The sequence below is a fragment of the Homo sapiens genome, chromosome 12 (assembly GCF_000001405.40).
Source record: "Homo sapiens chromosome 12, GRCh38.p14 Primary Assembly".
In the NCBI taxonomy this organism is placed as follows: Eukaryota; Metazoa; Chordata; class Mammalia; order Primates; family Hominidae; genus Homo; species Homo sapiens.
This window is the reverse complement of record NC_000012.12, coordinates 131,308,080-131,328,366: the sequence shown is the minus strand read 5'-3', so window position 1 is coordinate 131,328,366 and position 20,287 is coordinate 131,308,080. Positions and strand designations below refer to the sequence as shown.

General features: G+C 45.6%; 1 long non-coding RNA gene across 1 annotated transcript, besides 4 other annotated features; it reads left to right on the top strand.

The window, feature by feature from the left end:
• Positions 4,272 to 4,321: a silencer, noted in NCBI's record as "silent region_5096". NCBI's record gives its function as "represses an Ori minimal core promoter by ATAC-STARR-seq in GM12878 lymphoblastoid cells {active_cell/tissue: GM12878}" and the evidence as "EXISTENCE:reporter gene assay evidence [ECO:0000049][PMID:35858748]".
• Positions 14,022 to 14,921: an enhancer, noted in NCBI's record as "H3K4me1 hESC enhancer chr12:131797991-131798890 (GRCh37/hg19 assembly coordinates)". NCBI's record gives its function as "activates a minimal SCP1, AML or CMV promoter by ChIP-STARR-seq in primed H9 embryonic stem cells {active_cell/tissue: H9 hESC(primed)}" and the evidence as "EXISTENCE:reporter gene assay evidence [ECO:0000049][PMID:30033119]".
• On the top strand, positions 15,556 to 18,341 carry LOC124903055 (uncharacterized). Its single transcript, XR_007063528.1, has 2 exons — positions 15,556 to 15,637; positions 15,741 to 18,341. It is a non-coding gene; the product is annotated as an uncharacterized LOC124903055 (long non-coding RNA).
• Positions 15,824 to 16,725: an enhancer, noted in NCBI's record as "H3K4me1 hESC enhancer chr12:131796187-131797088 (GRCh37/hg19 assembly coordinates)". NCBI's record gives its function as "activates a minimal SCP1, AML or CMV promoter by ChIP-STARR-seq in primed H9 embryonic stem cells {active_cell/tissue: H9 hESC(primed)}" and the evidence as "EXISTENCE:reporter gene assay evidence [ECO:0000049][PMID:30033119]".
• Positions 16,726 to 17,627: an enhancer, noted in NCBI's record as "H3K4me1 hESC enhancer chr12:131795285-131796186 (GRCh37/hg19 assembly coordinates)". NCBI's record gives its function as "activates a minimal SCP1, AML or CMV promoter by ChIP-STARR-seq in naive H9 embryonic stem cells {active_cell/tissue: H9 hESC(naive)}" and the evidence as "EXISTENCE:reporter gene assay evidence [ECO:0000049][PMID:30033119]".
• Positions 18,342 to 20,287: the final 1,946 nt, after the last annotated feature.

Here is a 20,287-nt window from a genome sequence, read left to right as displayed (position 1 = left end):
TCCAGGCACGAGATTGTCTCAGGCTCCTTGGGTTCCAGAGCACACCAGGACTGACAGCCCCTGCTCCCGGGGCAATGCTGCTGACACGGCTGCTGGTCAGGCCGCTGGCCGGCCAGGGTCAGGATCCAGGGGCCTCTGAGTTGGAGGAGGGGGCTCCTTTACCCAGGCAGCCCCGCTCTCCCAGCCAGGGCCCAGGAAGCCAAAGCTGCTCTCTGCTCACTTCTGCTCCAGCTGCTGGCTCGGTGGGCCTGGGTCCTGCCACTGCTCCCCAGGGAGCTGTAATTAGGATTCCCATGCAAGGAGTTGATGGAAATGGCATTTCACAACACTAATGAACTTCTGCTTTCTTTCCGGAGCCACTTAGTCTATTTAAAATGCAAATTGAAGTCAATAGAAAGTGGCTTGTCTGAGTGCCATCCGGGGATGTGGTTGGTTTCTGTTGGAGGAAAGACGGGCTGTGGTTCCCCTGGTGGAGAAGACGGGGACACTCAGACCTGTCTGTGCCCAGGGCTGGCTCAGCATTGCCCTCCGCAGGGGAGGGGCTCCCTGGGTCAGGACTTGCGCAGGGACGGGGAGGGGAGTGACCCGAGGATCGTGTCCCGCCAGAGCCCATGAGGCCCGAGTCCTCCAGGTTCTTGAGTGGAGTTGTTTTTATCCCAATTATCCAGGTAACTGCCCGAATTCCTCCCCCATTGCCTGTGTAGGTTCAAGTCACCACCCACATGTGGGCTGCCTGGGGCATCCATACCGCTGGCCAGGTTGGCTGACCTCCTGCTGACTCAGATTGTGACCCCCTCATTCCCTGAGTATCCGAATTGATCAGGGGAAGTGGTGGAAACAGGAAGTTTGGGCTGCTGGGAATAGCAGGTGAGGAGTAACGCATCTCCTGGGAACGTGATGACCCTAAGATTTAAGTCAAATATGTGCTCTCAAAGTTGTCATTTGTGTGTATGGCCACCTACCTTCTCACTAATCCATCCACCATCCATCCATCTGTTCATCTGTCTGTCCATCCACTTATCTGAACTTATACTCAGTTTACTATCCAGTCTTCTCTCTTCCATGCATCCATCCATCCATCCATCTGTCCATTCATCTGCCCATCCACTTATCTGAACATATATCCAGGTTACTATCCATTCTTCTCTCTTCCATCCATCCATCCATCCGTTCATCCAGTTATCTGATCATATACCCAGGTTACTAACCATTCTTCTTTCATCCATCCATCCATCCATCCATCCATCCATCTGTCCAACCACTTATCTGAACATACACCCAGGTTACTATCCATTCTTCTCTCTTCCATCCATCCATCCATCCATCCATCCATCCATCTGCCCATCCTCTTATCTGAACATATTCCCAGGTTACTATCCATTCTTCTCTCTTCCATCTATCCATCCATCCATCTGCCCATATATCTGCCATCTAATCTCTCATCCATTTATACACCCATTACCCGTTTTAACCAGTCATCTGGATTTTACCCAATTACACCATTTATCCTGCAATTATCCAGTCTTCCACTGCACACCCATCCCCGTTTTTACCAATTCTCCATTTATTTGTCTGTCCATTTTCTTCTCTGTTCCTTAATGACCCTATCATTCATCACTCTCCAAAGAGAGTGAGGTTTATGCCACCCAGTCCAGAAGCTATTCTCCTTTCATGTTAAGAGAATCGATGTGGTCACTTAATCAGATGCCACTTTGTTTAATTGTCACATTATCACACCAGAACCACTGTTCCTGCCTGGACCCAGCCTCTGCTCCTCAAAGGAGTCAATTAGCCATCTGAGTGGCCACCTGACACATGATGTGCAGAGATGGGAGGAGACATGCCGAGCAATTTCTTTTATGCTGGGGCTGTTAATGCTGTGAAGTCTGACTAAGGGTTTCTGTCCACTGATGGTGCTTTTCATGCAATGCGTGTGGTTCTGTTCCTGTCTGAGTCCACCCTGAGTCTGCCTTTCTTCCACACCCTGAGACCCTTCCATGCAAATGTGCCTTTCCTGACAGCCAGGCTGGTGTGGATAGAGAAGAACTAGGCAGCCATGTAGAATGTGGTGGAAACATGTCTTCTCTGGAAACATCAGCCTTCACCCCAACACCAGGGAAGTGCTTTGAGCTTCACTGTCCTAGATGCCTTCCTGTGGGCTGTCCACAGGCCTCTCTCTGATGCCAAAGGGATTTGCTCAGATGAGAAAGAAACACCAAGGGGGCTGGGAGGGTGTGCAGACCTGAGAGGTGAGTTAGAATATCCAGGAGCTGCCACTCCCACCGCAGGAGGGGACCATGGGAGATGCAGGAGGGGACCATGGGAGACCCAGGAAGGGACCATGGGAGACCCAGGAGGGAACCATGGGAGATCCAGGAGGGAACCATGGGAGACCCAGGAGGGAACCATGGGAGATCCAGGAGGGAACCATGGGAGACCCAGGAAGCGACCACGGGAGACCCAGGAGGGAACCACAGGAAACCCAGGAGGGGACCCCAGGAGAGCCCAGGGCTGGAGATGTGGGTGAGGAGTAAGTGCAGGAAGGGGCTGACCATGACCATGGAGTCCTCTTCTCATTTCTTCCAGGCCCTCTTGGGCCTTGTTTCTAGGGCTCTGCACCCAGATCGATGGGAGGAGGACGGTGCCATTCACTGAAATAATAGGAATAGATGTGTGAGGGGGAGCTGGCAGGGTGGGAGGTAAAGACTCTGTCTGGGGAATCCACTCACTGAGGGGCACCTGGCCATGGCCTCAGATCCCGCCCTCCTGACACCCACTCTGTTCTACCGAGTTGAAGGTAGAGGCACCTTTCTCTTGGCAACAGGAGGTCCAGCGGGGCTTTTCCCATAATTGTAACCCCCACCCCGACACACACACACACAAGAATCCCTGATATCCCCAAATTTGGTCAAGATCTAAAGTTTGTTTTGCTGTACAACTACTTTTATTGGAGTTTTACTTGCTTCCAACAAGGGAGGCAAAATTTCCTGTTTCCATGACAATGGAAAGCAGGTAACTTCTTTATGGAGTTTGAGCTCACTCCCAGCAGGGAAGACAAGTTTGAGTTTTTTCCTGCCTCTGGGATGGTAGAGAGCAGTCTTGAGCCTGAGACCCATCCCTCAGTAAGTAGCTGAATTGGGGTCTTGTCTTGGCTTAAGTTTAACAACCGGCTGGTCTTAACTTATCTTTATCATTAGAGTCTTAACTTATCTTTACCATTAGGTGCTCAGTGATCGTATTATTAGTTTTTGTTGTTGTTTGTTCCGGTCTTTCTGTCATCAGATTTGACCAACTCTACCTGACTTGGTCAAATGCAAGTGAGAATTCCAAATTACGGGTAACAAAGCCTCTCTAATTTGGCTAAAATTTCTCACAGCTGAAAAAGAGGAAAAAACAAAATTCAAAAACCCAAAAAACTGTGTGCTTGGTTTCTGTGTTTGCTTCCTGCTTTAAAAAAACAAATGTTCTTTCTTTATTTTTCTTCTACTCTATAGCTCCTTCCTCCCACTTTGACATTTGCATACCAAAAATCTAGAGAAGGCTTCTAAGGACTTGAACCCCTTTAAAGAATTCAGAACAAAGGTGCCACTCACCCATTCTGGGGTGTTCTGTTTTCTTTATGGAGTTTCAAGAGTCATGGGCAGATTTTTCTTAGGCCTAAAGCTCTGTTTTCCTGTATTGCATGACCTGACCTCTTTGGCTTTGGGGGTAGCAGAGATGACCTTGTACTGTGAAAGGATTTGACCTTGGCGTGTGTAATGGCAGATGAGAGCTACAAAGTTAGGAGTGGCTGAGCAAATACAGGAAATGGTCTTGGCTGTTTTTTGTTTGTTTGTTTGTTTGCTTCTCCCAGGAAGTTGTTTAAGGATCCTAATTCTAGTTTGGAGATGCATTCTTAAGGGTCTTCTCTATTGCTTTTTCTCCCCAAATTAATCTAGATTCAGCTTGTCTGTGTGCATTTGCATGAGGAACTAAACTGTTGTTTTCATAGGTAAATAAACTGAGTTTTCTCAGCTCCAAGGAGAAGAGGCATTTTGCTCTTCCCAGCTGAAAGGCACCAATGGGTGACTGGAGGCCTCATAGAGGTGTCTGGGGTGTTGACTCCCCACGACATGCAGGGGCCCTACAGGGAAATCTCCAGTGAAAATTAATTTAATAAAAAGATTTATTCAGGAAATGCATAAAAGGGCTGATCACCCAGCATTTTGAGCCCTCTCAGAGGTCATAGACCTCTGGAGAGAGAGAAACTGAGACATGTAAGAGGGCAGAAATGACTCAGTGGTGACACACTGTGGTGTCCTGTCCACAAGTAGCACACATCGATCCACCACACAAAAAAGCTAGGCTACAGCTCAGTTCCTCCTTAAAAAAAAAAAGGGAAACAAATAAGAATGAGGAGAAACAAGGAGAATAGCCCCTTTGTGAACACTCTGTAGATTTTATGGCACCTCTACTGCCAGAGTTTATGTAAAATGGAAGTAATATGGTCTTTGTGCACATTTACATTAAGGAAAAAGAGCCCTAAGGTCAACCTGCAAACAATAGAGTTCCTAAGTTTTCTTTTTCTCTATTTTCTTTTCTGCCTACTTTAAATCTGATGCTATTTTTCTATTAAGATAAAAACCACTGTTTGGATCCAACAGGCATTTTTTTACAAGCTGGTGAATTTTTATTTATCTCATGGCTAAAGTTTTGAAGTAAAAGCTATAGGATCCTTGTGTGTGTATATATTTAAAAGGTCTTTATAATTTCTATAATTTTATGTTTAATTGGCAATTAAATCTATTTTGATTTCCCTCTAGCACACTTTTATTTTTTCTCCCTGCACATTATGAGGTAAATTTTGCTATTTGATTTTTACCTGAGTTGTTTCCTTTAATATACACATTTAAGGCTTATTTAGCTGACAACTGTCTAGAGTAGTGAAACAGGTTATCAATAATTTGAAAGTCTAAGATAGGAAAAAATGTTTTTATAAACCTATAAGATGTGCTTCTATGGGCATGCCTAATACATATATCTATTTATGTGTTGTGTGCAAAATGTTTCACTGCTGAAAATATATAAAAGGGCTCTAGTTAATTGGCTTAAGAAAATAAAAGCTCTTGAATCAAATACTTTATCAGGAAAAAAGAAAAGACGAGTCAAATGCTTTTTCAAGTTTATGTAACTTAAGTAAAATCTTAAATAAGCTAGCTTTAAAATTATTGGTAAAGTATAATAATATTATAAATATGTTACGAATTGCCAGCACACATTTTTGTTTGCATTTACTAATTCAGCAATTTCATACTTATCCCTGCCAAATACTATAAGGTGTCAAAATTTGGCATAAGGATTTCAAAACCATAAACCCAGCCCAAAACAGAGTGATGTCTGCTTATGTAATTTTTTAATAAATAAGACATTGCTATTGGTTTAATGAAAATAGCTACATCCAGAATTTAGTAAGATTGCCATAACTTGTAATCTGTGGCTTTAGGCAGTCTAGTCCACAGACAGTAAGGTTTATTTTGGGAAAGGACTGCTATTGTCTTTGTTTCAAAGCTAAACTATAAACTAAGTTCATCCCAAAGTTAGTTCGGCCTATGCCTAGGAATGAACAAGGACAGATTGGAGGTTAGAAGCAAGATAAAGCCAGTTAGTTCAGATTTTTTCACTCTCTCAGTTATAATTTTACAATGGCCGTTCCTTAACTTTAAATGATGACTATTGCAGTTTTCATAAATAATCTAGGTAAATGATTAAAATAAAATAATTAGATAAATGTAATGGGATAAATACTTGTAGACAAACTCATCATAATTTAGAATCTAAAGTTATATCAAATTAAATATACATTTCATTATTTGGGTATTTTCCAATAAAAATATATTTGTAGGAAAATGTTTTTTCTAAAAAAGTGCGTTCTTTTTAAAAAGGTGAATGATTTTTGTATAATTCGAAGCTTCTTTAAAGGTTATGTATAAAACAAGGTAAAAGGAACCAGGAAATGAGAAAAATGCAAAAAAAAGTTATAAAAAGAAAGGTGATTTTTTTGGTAATAAAGCTTAAAGAGAAATAATTTTGTATGAGAAGAATCTTGTATGGTAAATTTAGTCCTCAAATAAAATGACTGGTGTTTAAGAAAGAGGAACATTCAGGACACACCAGAAAGTCCAAGCTGTCATGAATGGTCTTTGTAAGTCACAGTAAGAGGATTTGTCAAAAAAGACCAAAAACTTTCAGATCAAGTTGTCTATTAATTAAAGGGAAATTATAATGGTCTTTATAGAGACTGGGCTTAATGTAAAAACCACATATAAGAACAATAAAATTTTCTTAAGGGATTGATTTACTCTTAATTAATTATAAGAGATTTTAATTTTTTTAACCCAAAGTTCAACTTTTATTGCATCTTGCCATTTTAGGTTTTCTCTTCCCTTTTAAAGGGTGAGAAATAGTAATACTCTCCTTCAACTCATTTTTAAGCTCATATGTTTTTTTCTTTGAGATCTGTTTGTTGTGGCCTGATGGTAACAATGTTTTCTTAAAGTTCCAAAGGCAATGTTTTCTTCCAACATACCATTCTGTGTAGTGCAGAAGGTCTTTTCTTTTGCCATTGGTAACTGGCCTAACAGATTTTACAGTTTATTGAAACAATTGCTATGCCATTATTATTGTTTTGGTCTGCTTAGGAAAAAAACTCAGATTAAAAGAATTTTTTTTAAATTAAGGTTATTACATCCCTGTATCTTTCTGTATAAGCTTTTAAAGTCCTTGTGACATTGTGTTACAGGGCTTTGACTCATCTAAAAAGGACACCAAGTCCTGATAAATCTTAAACACTGACAACAATTAAAGCCTCATCTTCGGGGCCAGTAGAAGATGCCAATCAAAATAAACTGCATTCCTGAGACACAGGGCCAGAAATTAAAGCTATTCAACTCCTAAAGGCCCAGGGACTATCATGGAAGAGGTGGGCATATGAGATTGTCAGGGCCAATTTTGAGAGATAAAATAAGTTCAGTTTTTGTATGAATTAATCATTAATGTCAAAGGCACACTGATGCAAGACCAGCATATAGGCCCCTGTGTCAGATTAACAAGGTTTTCTTGAAGCATTCACCGACTCCTTAATAAATGTTATAAAGGTTATAGAAAGCTTATAGAAGTTATATCTTATGGTCAATATTTAAATTTTATAGATTGTTTATAAAATTTTGAAAAACAAATTTAATTGGCTTCATACTGTTTTTATTAGGGCTTATTGCTTGGAAAATTAAGTCTCCTCTTTGAAAGAATAAAGGTTTTTGCCCTTTAAAAAAAAAATCCTTGAGTTATCACTTTGGTGTAATGAACGACTTATTTTAAAATGACCTGTGATATCAAGTGTCTATCAAGCCTTTGATATATGACAAACTCTCAAATTATAAATTATGCCTTTTTCTGACTTAATTAATCCTTTAAGATGTTAGGTTCCCTAAAGTCCAAAAATGACATAATTTGTTTTATTTGTCATAAAAATTATACAAGAAGCATTGTCAAATATGAAATGGTGTTGGTTTTCTTTGGGCTGTATTTGTATAAATATGTGTTCCAAAATTATGGGAAACGCCTACAATTCCGATATGACTTAGTGTACATTATCAGTAATAATTATAATTGTTATATTAAATTATTTTGTGCCACAGAGGTAACAAATTTCCTTGTCAATGTGTCTTTGACTATGGCTTCCCTAAAACTGTTGTCATCCATGGAAAACTGTTGTCTTGTTTTGGTCCTCTTTAGAAGGTGTTTTTATAATCAGGTATAAAACTCCAACAGGTGCTCTTGAATACAGATTTCTGATAACTTTGGAGACTGTGAAATCAGAACAGAGAAAAAACTTTCAGGACTCATGGGTAGCTGAAATGTTTATGAATATCAAGCAGAACAAGAATTTACTGCATGGACTGAACTAAGGGAAGACTGAAGTAAACTTTTTGAAGTGATTTTTTGAAGCTTAAACCATTGCTAATCCTTTGTTTTGTTTTTTCAGAGTCAAGAAAACTTTTCTTTTGAGCTATTGACAGCTTTTAACAATTTAGTATACTCCTATGAACAAAATTTGGAGCATATTTGTTTCTTTCTACCTGATTTCTCCAGAATTTAGAAACTATTTTTGAGTATTCTTAACTTATGGCAATACAGTTATTTGCATAAGTGCAATAAGAATCTGTTTTCACTTGTAACAGAAAACAATTGGAGAAACTAGTTATTTTACCAGGATTTTGACTGGAATGATGTGTTTTCCTTAAAGATATCAAAATTGACTTATGGAGCCAATAAAAGCCCCTTAGGGAAAACTAACCTCATGACTTGTCTGCACAGTCCCTGTACAGGGTTCCTCGCCTGTGGTAAGTAAAAAATGTCACTTTCTAATAGGCCCAGAAGCCCTGAGTTTATCTTAAGACCTCAGAAGGAGAGAAATTCACCCAACTCATAGGTATTTGATGGTAAAAATCCATGGCTGGGCTCAGCTTTAAAAAGGTCTTATCTGAGATTCCTTCTGTGGAGCAAAGTTCCATCAAAATTAATGTAAAAGCCAAATAATCGGGCCAAGTATAATAAAGCAAATCAGTCCTACCATGACTTGTCTTTAATAAAGATAAAAACTAGAGAGAGGAAAAAATATGTTTCAAAAACTATAGTACACCTGTTGTTAGATTCTAGACTTGCCTAATATTTTTCAATTTTTATTATTTTCTACAGTTTGGGCTGAATTCTAATTTTCTTGGCTACAGTCTTCAAAATAGTGTTTTCCATTTTTTCTTTCCTTTAGAAGGAAAAAAATACCCCCCATTTTTCCTAATTTAGAGTCACTAAAAACTAAGCTGTGCTTTCTTAAAGCCCTGTGAACTGAAGCCAGACAACTTAAACTTCAGAAAAAAATAACATACATATTTACATACATAAGCCACTTTCATACCTGCCTACTGATGTATAGACTTCAGAGTAATGCAGCCTATATAAATTTTCCAGGATTGTTCTTTTGTTTGTTGTTGTTTTCTCCCTTTATCCCCCTATTTTCTCTTCATAGGACATGAGACCTAACAAGCTACTAAAAATGAACTTTTCTCATAACTCAGGATGTACCAGTCTAGGAATAAACCATCCTAGCCAGGAGATATCAGATGAAACCTGAGACCAGAGACTCATTTTCTTCTAAAATACCTTCTTCAAAAGATTTTTAAAAAAGAAAAGGGGAGAAATGTGAAAGGAAAATAAATCTTGGGACCTCAAAAATCACTAAGCTAAAGGTCAAGCTGGGAACTGCTTAGGAAAAACCTGCCTCCCATTCTATTCAAAGTCACCACTCTGCTCATTGAGTTAAGTGCATATCTGATTGCCTCCTTTGGAGAGGCTAATTAGAAACTCAAAAGAATGCAACCATTTGTCTCTTCTCTACCTATGACCTGGAAGCCTCCTCCCCACTTCGAGTTGTCCTACCTTTCCAGACCCAAGCAATGTTCATCTTACATATGTTGATTGATGTCTCTTGTCTACCTAAAATGAATAAAATCAAACTGTGCTCTGACCACCTTGGGCACATGTCATCAGGACCTCCTGAAGCTGTGTCATGGGCACCTGTCCTCAACCTTGGCAAAATAAACTTTCTAAATTAACTGAGACTTGTCTCAGATATTCGGGGTTGACAACTCCCTCATTCACTCCCTCCCTCACTCCCTCCCTTACTCATTCATCTCACTAACTCATTCACTCATTTACTCTCACATTCTCTCACTCACTCATTCACTCACTCCCTCACTTATTCATTCATTTACTTATTGCTCATTCACTTACTCATTCATTCATTCAAAAACTCATTTATTCCCTCACTCACTCCCACACTCACTCTTTCATTCACTAATCTACTTATTCTCTCACTCACTCCCTCCTTCACTCACTCTCTCACTCACTTAATCACTCATTTATTCCATCATTAATTCACTCCCTCACTCACTCCCTCACTTTCTCATTCACTCACTCATTCATTCACTCACTCATTCTCTCATCCACTCATTCACTCCCTCACTTATTCACTCCTTCACTCTTTCACTATTCATTCCTTCATTCACACACTCCCTCACTTACCCATTCACTCACTCATTCACTCCTCATTACTCATTCACTTGCTCACTCACTCACTTTCTCATTCATTCACTCACTCATTCTCTCACTCATTCACTCCCTCACTTATTCACTCCTTCATCCACACACTTTCTCACTTACTCATTCACTCCTCATTACTCATTCACTCACTCCCTCACTCACTCATTCACTTACTCATTCATTCACTCATTCACTCATTCATTTACCCATTTATTCACTCACTCATTCACTCCTCATTACTCATTCACTTATTCACTCACTCATTCAATCAATCACTTAACTCATTCATATGGGAGGAGACATTTGGGGAGGGGGCCGGAGAACCCCAAGTGCAGAAGAGGACCCGGGGGTTTGAGCCCAGGCTGGGGAGGGGCCTCTCAGTGGCAGAGCATAGTGTGAACACACTTGCACATCATTATTGAATTGGAAAATGAGATTTCCAGAACCAGGTAGCCTTCTCTCTCTGGGTGCCAACAGCTAGAACATCTGTTCCTGAAACAGTGATATGGCCGTCAGCACAGTCAAGAATTGCACCATTTGGGAGGCAGGAAATCGTTTCCAGGAGAAAGTGCTCCATACAGATGGCTAAGCATCTGGTCCTGGAGAATCTGCAAATGCAGAAAACTTCAGGATTTAAAAGAAACTCAGATTTGTTCCCTTTACCTAATTGTTCCCAACCCTTCCCTGAGCCTTTTCTCTTTTAGAGACAATGGAATGGGCTAGAATGTGCTGAAGGGTGCGGAATGCTGGGCAGGAATCTCACCTCTGGGGATAAACCACAGACAGGTGATGTGGTGGGGAGAATTTCCCCGCTCTTTCCAAACCAGTGGGAAGTTCCAGTTGGGAACATATTCCCCAGGGCACTGAAATATTAAAATAGAGCATGGACTTATCAGAATGGTGCATGGACCAATCCGAATTGACCACAGACCACACAGACTGGAGCATGGGCCAATCAAGATGAAGCATTTTCCAATAAGGATGGAGCATAGATCAATGAGAATGGATTATGAGATGATGAGCCAATTAGGATGGAGCATGAACCAATCACAATGAAGCACAGGCCAGTCAGGCTGGAGCATTTTCCAGTCGGAATGGAGCATGAGCCAATCGCAACGGAGCACCAGCCAATCAGGCTGGAGCATTTTCCCATTGGAATGGAACATGGGCAAATCACAATGGACACCCGTCCAAAACCCAGCACAGAGGGAGCACTGTGTCCAATTGAGTGTCTGTCATGGCTGCACTCACCAGGTCCCCTTCTTATCCTGCCACCCTAGGCCGTGGGTCAGGAGACAGAGGTGCCTGGAGGAGCCAAGACCAAGCCCCACTTCTGCCTGTGCAATGGAACACCCAAGCCGAGAGAGGACTGTGAGTGACAGAGGGACAGGAGCCCAGGGATGCACTGTGTCTGTCTGTCTGTGCAGGAGCCCAGAGACCTCAGGCAGCCCCAGGCTTCCAAGCTAGCATTTGTGCTCATCACATCTGGGGTCGACTCCAGGACAAGCTGATACTTACAGACACAGAAGGCGATTTAAACGTGTCCCCAGGAGATGACAATGTAGTCTGGGGTGAATTCATTTGTAAGAGTCTGTTGACATTCATTGTAAAAGATGAGTACTTCTCACTGGTCCTCACATGTCTCATCCCTGAGACGGAGGGGGAGAACATCATTTTAATTGCCATACGGTATGTGTTTCCTGAAGACTTTATGGCTGCTTTGCAGTTTATCATTGAGGGGTAGATTTATAGCACTGTCTGTGGGCCCTTGCCTGCACTGGGCTTGTCAGGCTCTAGGTAAAATGGAGAGGGTCTATGGGGTGTGCCCTTTCCACGCAGGTGTCTCCAGAGCTGACTTGTGGCTCAGGGCCAGAGGCAGGTCTGGGACAGTCCAGCCAGAGATCAGAGCCCAGGCCTGCTGTGCAGGTCCAACTCCCAGTGCTGACCCTGACAGCTGTGCTGTGTGATCCCAGAGCCATCCTCACCACTGAGCATGGTTCCCTTCTCTGTAAAGCAGGGAAACTGATGCTCTCCCAGGGACACCACTCAGCAGCTATTCCCCCAGTGCCTGGAACAGCCCCTTAAGGATCACCCTTCACCCAGCCTCAGTCCACGTGGTTTGGGGACATCCCCAGTCCAGGGGCAGATTCCATAACCAAGTCACAGTCAATCAGCACAACGCCCTCCAATGGGAGGTGACTGGCTCAGGCATAGGGGTGTGAAGCCATCAGGGCCAATCAGGTGCAAGGAGATTTGGGCTGAAAGGGTCTGGTCTTTCTCACTGGCTGTGACCTGAGGTGGGCGTGGCACAGATTGCCCTGCTGGAATCAGTGGGCAGAGCCTGCTTGAGACTGGAATCCACATGGAGGAAGCAGAGCCAGGGGTGGACCAGGCCTTGGTGATAGTGACCTGAGCTCTGGACACACCCAGATCTGAAAACAGGCCACTCTCGCCCTCTCCTAGAAGCACCCATTAATCCCCTTTGGGGCTTAGGCCCTGCGAGTGGGGTTTGTGTCACTAACATCAATGAGGACAAGATGGTCTTATTTCAGAGAATAATCAGGGAACTGTGAGACAATCCACTGAAACAGGAGGTGATGCTTGTGCCTGGCCACAAGAACCCTAAACAGAGGTTGCTGTTAGTATACGGAGCTCTCCTGCTGCTGGGGTGCCCCTCATTTAACCGAGATGGATCAGGTAGAATGAACCATTTCAGCACGACAAAGTCCAGATGGAAGTGTGAGTCTCAAATGTGGGCATCATTCTCATCAGTGCTGGTGTTTCTGCATTGCCCCCGACCCCAGCCTGGCCCGTGAGACACCTGCCCCTGGGTGTCCTTGGTGGGTGCTCCTCTCCCTCCCCCGAGCAGTGGACCAGGCTCATCCCGGACCTCCTCCTTTCCACCTGCTCCCCATCCCCAGGGTCAGCCCCTGTGACTCAAACACCTTCTACTGCTACTGACCACACACCAGAGGGAGACCCACCCACACCTCTGCCATGTCACACTGACCTTCACCTATTTCAATTTTCTTCCCTTATCACCACCTGAGGTTTTAATGTAGGTTATTTTGGTTACTCTTTGTTTGCAATGCAAACAAGCCCAGTAAGGGACAGGACTTGGTCTTGGTCTCGGCCTCAGCTGTCCCCCATTTGTTGAATGGACAAATGGATTGATGAATGGATTAATGGATTGCTGGATGGATGGATGAGGGGAAGAATGAATTAATGGGTGAATGGATAGGTAAATGGATGAAAGAATGGATGGATGGATGAGTGGGTGCATGGATGAATGGATAGATGAATGAATGGATGGATGGATGGATGAGTGGGTGCATGGATGAATGGATAGATGAATGAATGGATGGATGGATAGGTGGATGAGTGGGTGAATGAAAGGATAATGGAAAAATGAATGAATGGATGAATGGTGAATGAATGGATGGATGGGTAGATGGATGAGTGGGTGAATGAATAAATAATGGAAGCATGAGTGGATGAATAGGTGAATGAATGGGTGGATGGATGAATGGATGGATGGAAGGATGGATGAATGAATAGATGGATGGATGAATGGATAGGTGAAAGAGTGGATGGATGGATGAATGAATAGATGGATGGATGAATGGATAGGTGAAAGAGTGGATGGATGGATGGATGGATGGATGGATGGATAGATGGCTGATGGATGGATGAGTGGGTGAATAAATGAATGGATGAGTGGAGGGACAGATGGATAAAAATTTGCACAGCTCACACTCTCCTCTCAAATGATTTTTCTGAGTCCTTCCCACTTTCACTGGCTCCTGGTCACCTGCCCAGTGTCCTATCTGCTGTGCCTCCCTGAAGTCCATGAGGACCCTGTGACCTGCACTGGTCAGAGAAGCCTTCTTGGAGGAGGGGGCTCAGGTAGAGCATGGAGAAGAGAAGAACTTAGGGGTGGAGTGGGGGCACAGCCTGCAGATGGTGGGGAGGGAGGCTCCATCCCCAAGTGGTGGGTGGGGTCTCACAGCCTCGCTCTGGCTCTGTTGGACTTGGGAGAGTGCTGGTAGCTAAATATGCTTTTTCCCAAAAAGTCTATAACCAGGGGATGGGAAGTTGGGCAGGTTCACAGCCCAGCAGGAATGAGGCCAGGAAGAAAACAGGATCCAGACCGAAGCATGTACTGCTCATTTGAATATCATTTGCATGGAATTCTTAGTGCTCCTCCTCTCCCCACTCCTTCCCTGCCGCCTTCTCTGGGGCTTAGCTCACAGTGGGGCTTGTCTCAGCTCCATTAGACACCAGGGAAGGCACAGGCAGCACCACGAACACAGCTGGGTCCCCATTGAGTGTGGCCATGAAGAGAGAAAGGGCCTCCTGGGGCTGGGCCACCCCCTGGTGGGCTCATGAAGACAGAGGGAGCCTTGGACTGGGGACAACCAGCAAGCCTGTTGTGCCCCTGCTGGGACTGCCCTGCTGAGTCTATTATTAGGTTGCCCTTTGTTTGCCTGACCACGGGGGGCCTGCAGGACAGGACGGCCTGGGGACAACCTCAGAATGGGAGGGTTTGGGCCCCTCCTCTGCTCCCTTTCTTGGAGTTTCTTGTGTGAGAGAGGAAAGGGCTGCTTGGGCCACCCCACAGGAACCATGAGACCATAACTGGGGCTGTTTTAAGTCTCCAGGGGTGTGGAAGTTGTGGTGCAGGGAATGAACCAGGCCCAGCCTCTGGGAGAGAGAATGGGGAGCTCCCTGGGCCCTCTCCTGCCCCTACAGTTCACAGCCCATGGGCCAGAAGTGGTCCATTTCATAACCATGAAACCCTGGGGAGCACATGGGCTCCTGAAGAGGACCAGGGCCTCTTCTGCTGCCATTTGGGATGACACAAGTTCTGTAGAGCCGGTGGAGCCCATACGAGGGTGGGAGTAGAGGGTGACACCCTCTGGCACAGGCTGGGGAGAGACCCCAGGCAGCTGCGTGGGGAGTGCAGGGCCTGGGTGCAGGCAGCAGCCTGGGGTGTGTCCCGCAGGACCCCAAGCAGAGGCCATGGGTGCGGAAGAGAATCCCAGGGCAAATCTCATGAGAGCAGCACTGGGACACGTCTGCCGCTAAGGTTATTCTAAAGGCAGAAGCACAGGGACTTCCTGAAAGGCTGCATAGGAGCATGAGGCTTGGGCTCGGCTGCCTGGAAGAAGTGCCCTATTATTGGAGGCCAGAGGATGAGACCGAGGCAGGCTAAGGAGGAAATCATGGCCCAACCTGGGCTCAGGGCAGGGGCCCGGCTGGGGAAACTCCTGGCTCAGGAGCAGAGCACGGGAGGAGAAGCACAGCCGGCCCCTGCTCTCCAGGCCTCTGGGAGGTTGGGAAGTGCATGAAAGCACCTCTGAGTCTTGGGTTTTCCATCTGCACAGTGGGCAGGATGATGACGGGCCCTTCTTCCCTAGAAGGAACTTTTTAGGCACAAATGAGGAAATAACATAGAAAGACTTGGAGGCTTCGCCCACATAAGGCAGGAGATCACTCCAAGGTAGGATGACTGCTATTTTGATTGGCTGTAATCAAATGTAATGTCTTGTTTTCATGATTTGGATTGGAGGTGGAAATATTAATTCGAATCATCTATCCTGCAGTAAACGGACCTCCCTGATGGTGGCTTCCCCCGTTCCCTGTAACTGCCTGTGACTGATGAGCCATCAGCAGGGATGGGAGGGATGGAGCCTCGGACATCATTTACTCACTTCTGCTTGTTAAATAACTCAGGACCTGGGGCCGCTTCTCAGGGCTGGGGCTGAGTCTCCGTGCCCACCGTGGTGCTGGGCATATTTGCTGTCTCTGGGGAGACAGATGCGAAGCAGAAAGGCAGAAGGAAAAGCTGTCAGCCCAGGCGCTCCTGCCATCCCACGCCGGCCTGCAGGCCACCGCCCTCTGCCCATCCCGGAAGGACGTGTTTTCCTCTTAAATACCTGAGTCAAGGGGCTGGGGTGCATCTTTCCCTCCGCCCTCTTGCTGAGCTGCGTGGCTGCATTGAGGGGATTTTTCTGTCTCTGCCATTAAACAAATCCTGGCAGGCTAATTAGCTGTGGGAAGTTTCAGGTGCTTTCATTTTCAAAAGAAGTCAAAACAAGCACATATTATGCTTGGAACAAGCCTAGCTTTCTAATGAAAAGAGACTGCAACTGGATCATCAAACAAACGTAAACAAATAGATCAATAAATGTGCATGCATACACGTGTTCACAGAGCACAATTTGAAGGTGAAACGTGAAATGAGAGCCCGTACAGAGGTGTCAGCCATGAGATGTGCAGGGGCCAAGGGTGCAGGGCCAGGGTCAGGAGGATGTGCAGTGGAGCCGGGTTAACGTTACTGCCGCGCCCTAAGAAACGGGGAGGGGAGGGGAGGCAGGTCTGGAACCACCTAGGAGGCAGATTTGGTTGATTTGTTTCAGGAATCCTTTCTGCCTTGTGATTTAGGAGTTAACGTTTCCTTCTCCTCTTTCTGCTCCTCCTTCCTCCAATAAAGTGCCTGACCTTCATCAGTGCACACACAGGTGGCACTGGCTCAGGGCCCATCGAGGGCCAGTGTCCTGGGCCCTGCAGGGCATGTCTGTGGGAGGGCCACTAGGGTCAGGGGACAGGGCCGTGGGGAAAATCTGCCCCGTGGATGGATTTGACCGCAGCCACGCTGTCCTTCTGGGGAATAAAGGAGGAGACTTCCCTTGTCCCTGGGACAGCAGGCGCTTCCCCAGGTGGTGGCCCCTCAAGGGCTCCTCCCCAGCACGCTTCCTGCCCTCCCACTGCTCTGAGTCAAGTTCCTCCCGCTCACCTGCTGACTTCATTCCTGGTCCCCTCATCGTCATGGGCGGGGCCTTCCTGAGCTGCTCCCTTAACACTGAGGAGCTTGACCAGCCACAGGGGCCTGGCCCTCTCCAGGGTGCTGAAACCTGCTGCCGCTTCCTGGGTGGGGACTGCGTGGCTGTCCCAGGATAAGCAGATGTGGGACCCCGTGGCAGAACTACAGTTGTTTTGATGTTTCCATCATGCCCTAAATCCAGCCAGAAGCAGCTTGAAGATACCTGGTGCGCAATGTCCTGCCGATAGCCGGCGGCTGAGCAGACGCCTGGGAGAGAGCATCTTTATCCTGGATGGGCTCAGAGGACCTTCAGAGTCCAACGCACACCTCTCCAGAATCCATTCAGGCGTCTGCAGGCTGGAGACTGAGGGCAGAGGAAACAACGCCCGTGGGATCATCACCCGGCTCAGCAAATGCTCATCAATCCTTCTGCACTCGGCACTGCGCTGGGCCCCTGGGGCTTTAGAGAGGGTGAGATGTGGTCTTTGAATCTGGAGAGTCATCGCGTAGTTGTGAGCCACACTACAGCTCCTCAGCAGAGGAACAGTGAGGACGCAACATCAAACAGAAGAATCTTGAAGACGAGGCAAGGGCATTGAGGTGCTGCCACCGCCTCCGGCCGGCTCTTGCCGCAGCTGATAAACGTGCAGTATTGGCGTTGTCGGGAACTGGCTTTCTGGGGCCTCTGTCACTTCCCGTCTCTGCAGAGCTTGTGATTGAGCCTGTTCACAGGACACCTTCGTGCTGGACACAGCTTCCTGTCGTGATCCAGAAACTCACTGAATTTAATCTAAGATTGCTAACAAGAGTTTCCTGGGGCTTTGGAGGGGACCATCAGGAGTGGTGCTGCTCCCGGAGAAATAAGAAAACTGTGTCAGTCAGGGCTCAGCTTCAGCTTGAAGTGGCAGAAATGCAGCTCACACTGGTGTAGGTCAGGGAAGTCCACATGAAGCGGGGAGAGCAAGGTGTGACTGGGTCTCTGTGAGGCTGGAATAGGGAGCGGGAGCTCAGCATGGTGCTCTTGCGTCTTTCTCTGTGCAAACTTTGCTTCCTCCACTCACACTGGCTGAGCCTCACACTGACCACTGTGGACCCCATTCCTCTGGCATAACAGCTACGTGGGTAACAGACTCCAGCATTCCCTCCATGACGCCTGTTCACTGTCCTTGTAGATTTCGAAAGGGCTAGAAGAGAAGAATGTGAATGTTCCCCGCATAAAGGAAAGGTAAATATTTGGGGTGGCAGGTATCACAAGTGTCTTGATTTGGGGTGGCAGGTATCACAAGCGTCACAAGTGATCTTGATTTGATCACTACACATTATATGCCTGCACCCCGAATATGTACATCTATTATGTATCAATAAACAGTCTTGGGGAGAATCTTTGCTCTACCTGACCCAGCTTCTGTCAGCAGCCCAGCCCTGAACCAGTCGCTATGGGCAGAAAGGCAGCCGTCTGAGAAGCTCCCAGGCTGTGGGGTGAGGGGCAGCAGCCGGTCAGTGTGAGTGGATTTTCATTTGTCTTTTTCAGGTTCTGGACATGTTTTCCCCCCAGGGGAGGCCTGAGAGTCTCAGAGGCTGCAAGAGCTCCAAGTCCTCCACGACTCTCTTTAGTTCCTTTTCTGGGGAGCAAAGGCCACTCCTGCCTGCCCAGAGTCAGGAACCTCATTGGGGTTTGTGGAAGCAGCTCTGATTTGTTTTATTCCAGAATCCTTTTTGTCTGCAAGGAACTGGATTATAATTTTGAAACCATTTTTTGGCACTAAACTGATACAATCCAGGATATTATGAACATGCAACATTCAGAAAACTGGGAGAAACTGGTCATTGTCATGTGTCGTTTAGAAATATCAGATGCTGGGCCAGGCATGGTGACTCAGGCATGGTGGCTCATGCCTGTAATCCCAGCACTTTGGGAGGCCAAGGCAGGTGGATCGCTTGAGGTCAGGAGTTCAAGACCAGCCTGGCCAACATGATGAAACCTCGTCTCTACTAAAAATACAAAAATTAGCTGAGTGTAGTGGCACACGCCTGTAATCCAAGCTACTTGGTAGGCTGAGACAGGAGAATTGCTGGAACCCAGGAGGCAGAGGTTGCAGTGAGCCGAGATCACACCACTGCACTCCAGCCTGGGCAACAAGAGTGAAACTCTGTCTCAAAATTTAAAAAAAGCAGGAAAATGTAACCTGGGTGTCAAAAGACCCTAAACAAGACAAAACCACACAGGGCTAAGGTGAAAAATATATAATTTTGTCTACATCGACATTTAAAATTTCCATATCAGTAAAGATACAGTGAAAAGATTAGCCACAGACTCGGAGAAAACATTACACGACATAAAACAAAAGATTCACACACAGAATCTGTAAACGCCTTCCTAGAGTAATGTGGAAAAGATAAACAACCCAGCAAAAATTCAGGCAAAGGATATAAACAAACAATTTATGGGAGAGAAATGTCAAAGGGCAACATAGAAAAATACTCAACTCAGTAGGAATGAGGGCAAACAAGTTAAAACAAGATACAACGTTTCACCTATCTGATGGGCAGAAGTGAGGAAATGATCACGTCAAGTATTAGCCAAGTGGCCGGACACAGTGGCTCACACCTGTAATCCCAGAACTTTGGGAGGCCAAGGCGGGTGGATCACGAGGTCAGGAGTTCGAGGCCAGCCTGGCCAAAATGGTGAAACCCTGTCTGTACTAAAAATATAAAAAGTTAGCCGGGTGAGGTGGCGCAGGCCCGTAGTCCCAGCTACTTGGGAGGCTGAAGCAGGAGAATTGCTTGAACCCAGGAGGTGGAGGTTGCAGTGAGCTGAGATTGCACCACTGCACTCAAGCCTGGGCAGCAGAGCGAGGCTCTGTCTCAAAAAAAAAAAAAAAAGAAAGAAAGAAAAAAGTATTAGCCAAGATATGCGGAAAGAGGATTCGTGTATGCTGTTTGTGTGAATGTAAGTTCGAATGGTCTTTTCTAGAGAACTATCTGGATGTATCTATTGGCACAAAAAGTGCACACATGCCATGGCTCCCAATTTCACTTCTCAGCCTCTACCTGAGCATGGGCAAAGGAGGCGGGTGCTAGAATGTGTGCTGCCACGTCGACAGTCATCCTGGAGACATGGGGAAAAATAAAACTTTAGTCTCTTCCGAGGGTGATTTGGTTAAATACAGCCTATGGTATGTCCATGTTATGGAATATTGTGTAGCAGCTGATGCAAAATGGTAGCACTATATATATGCATATGGAAAGATTTCTAAGGCTTGCTATTCTACAAAACAAGCAAGGAAGAAGACATGGCCCCAGTGTGATGTGTGTGTGTGTGTGTGT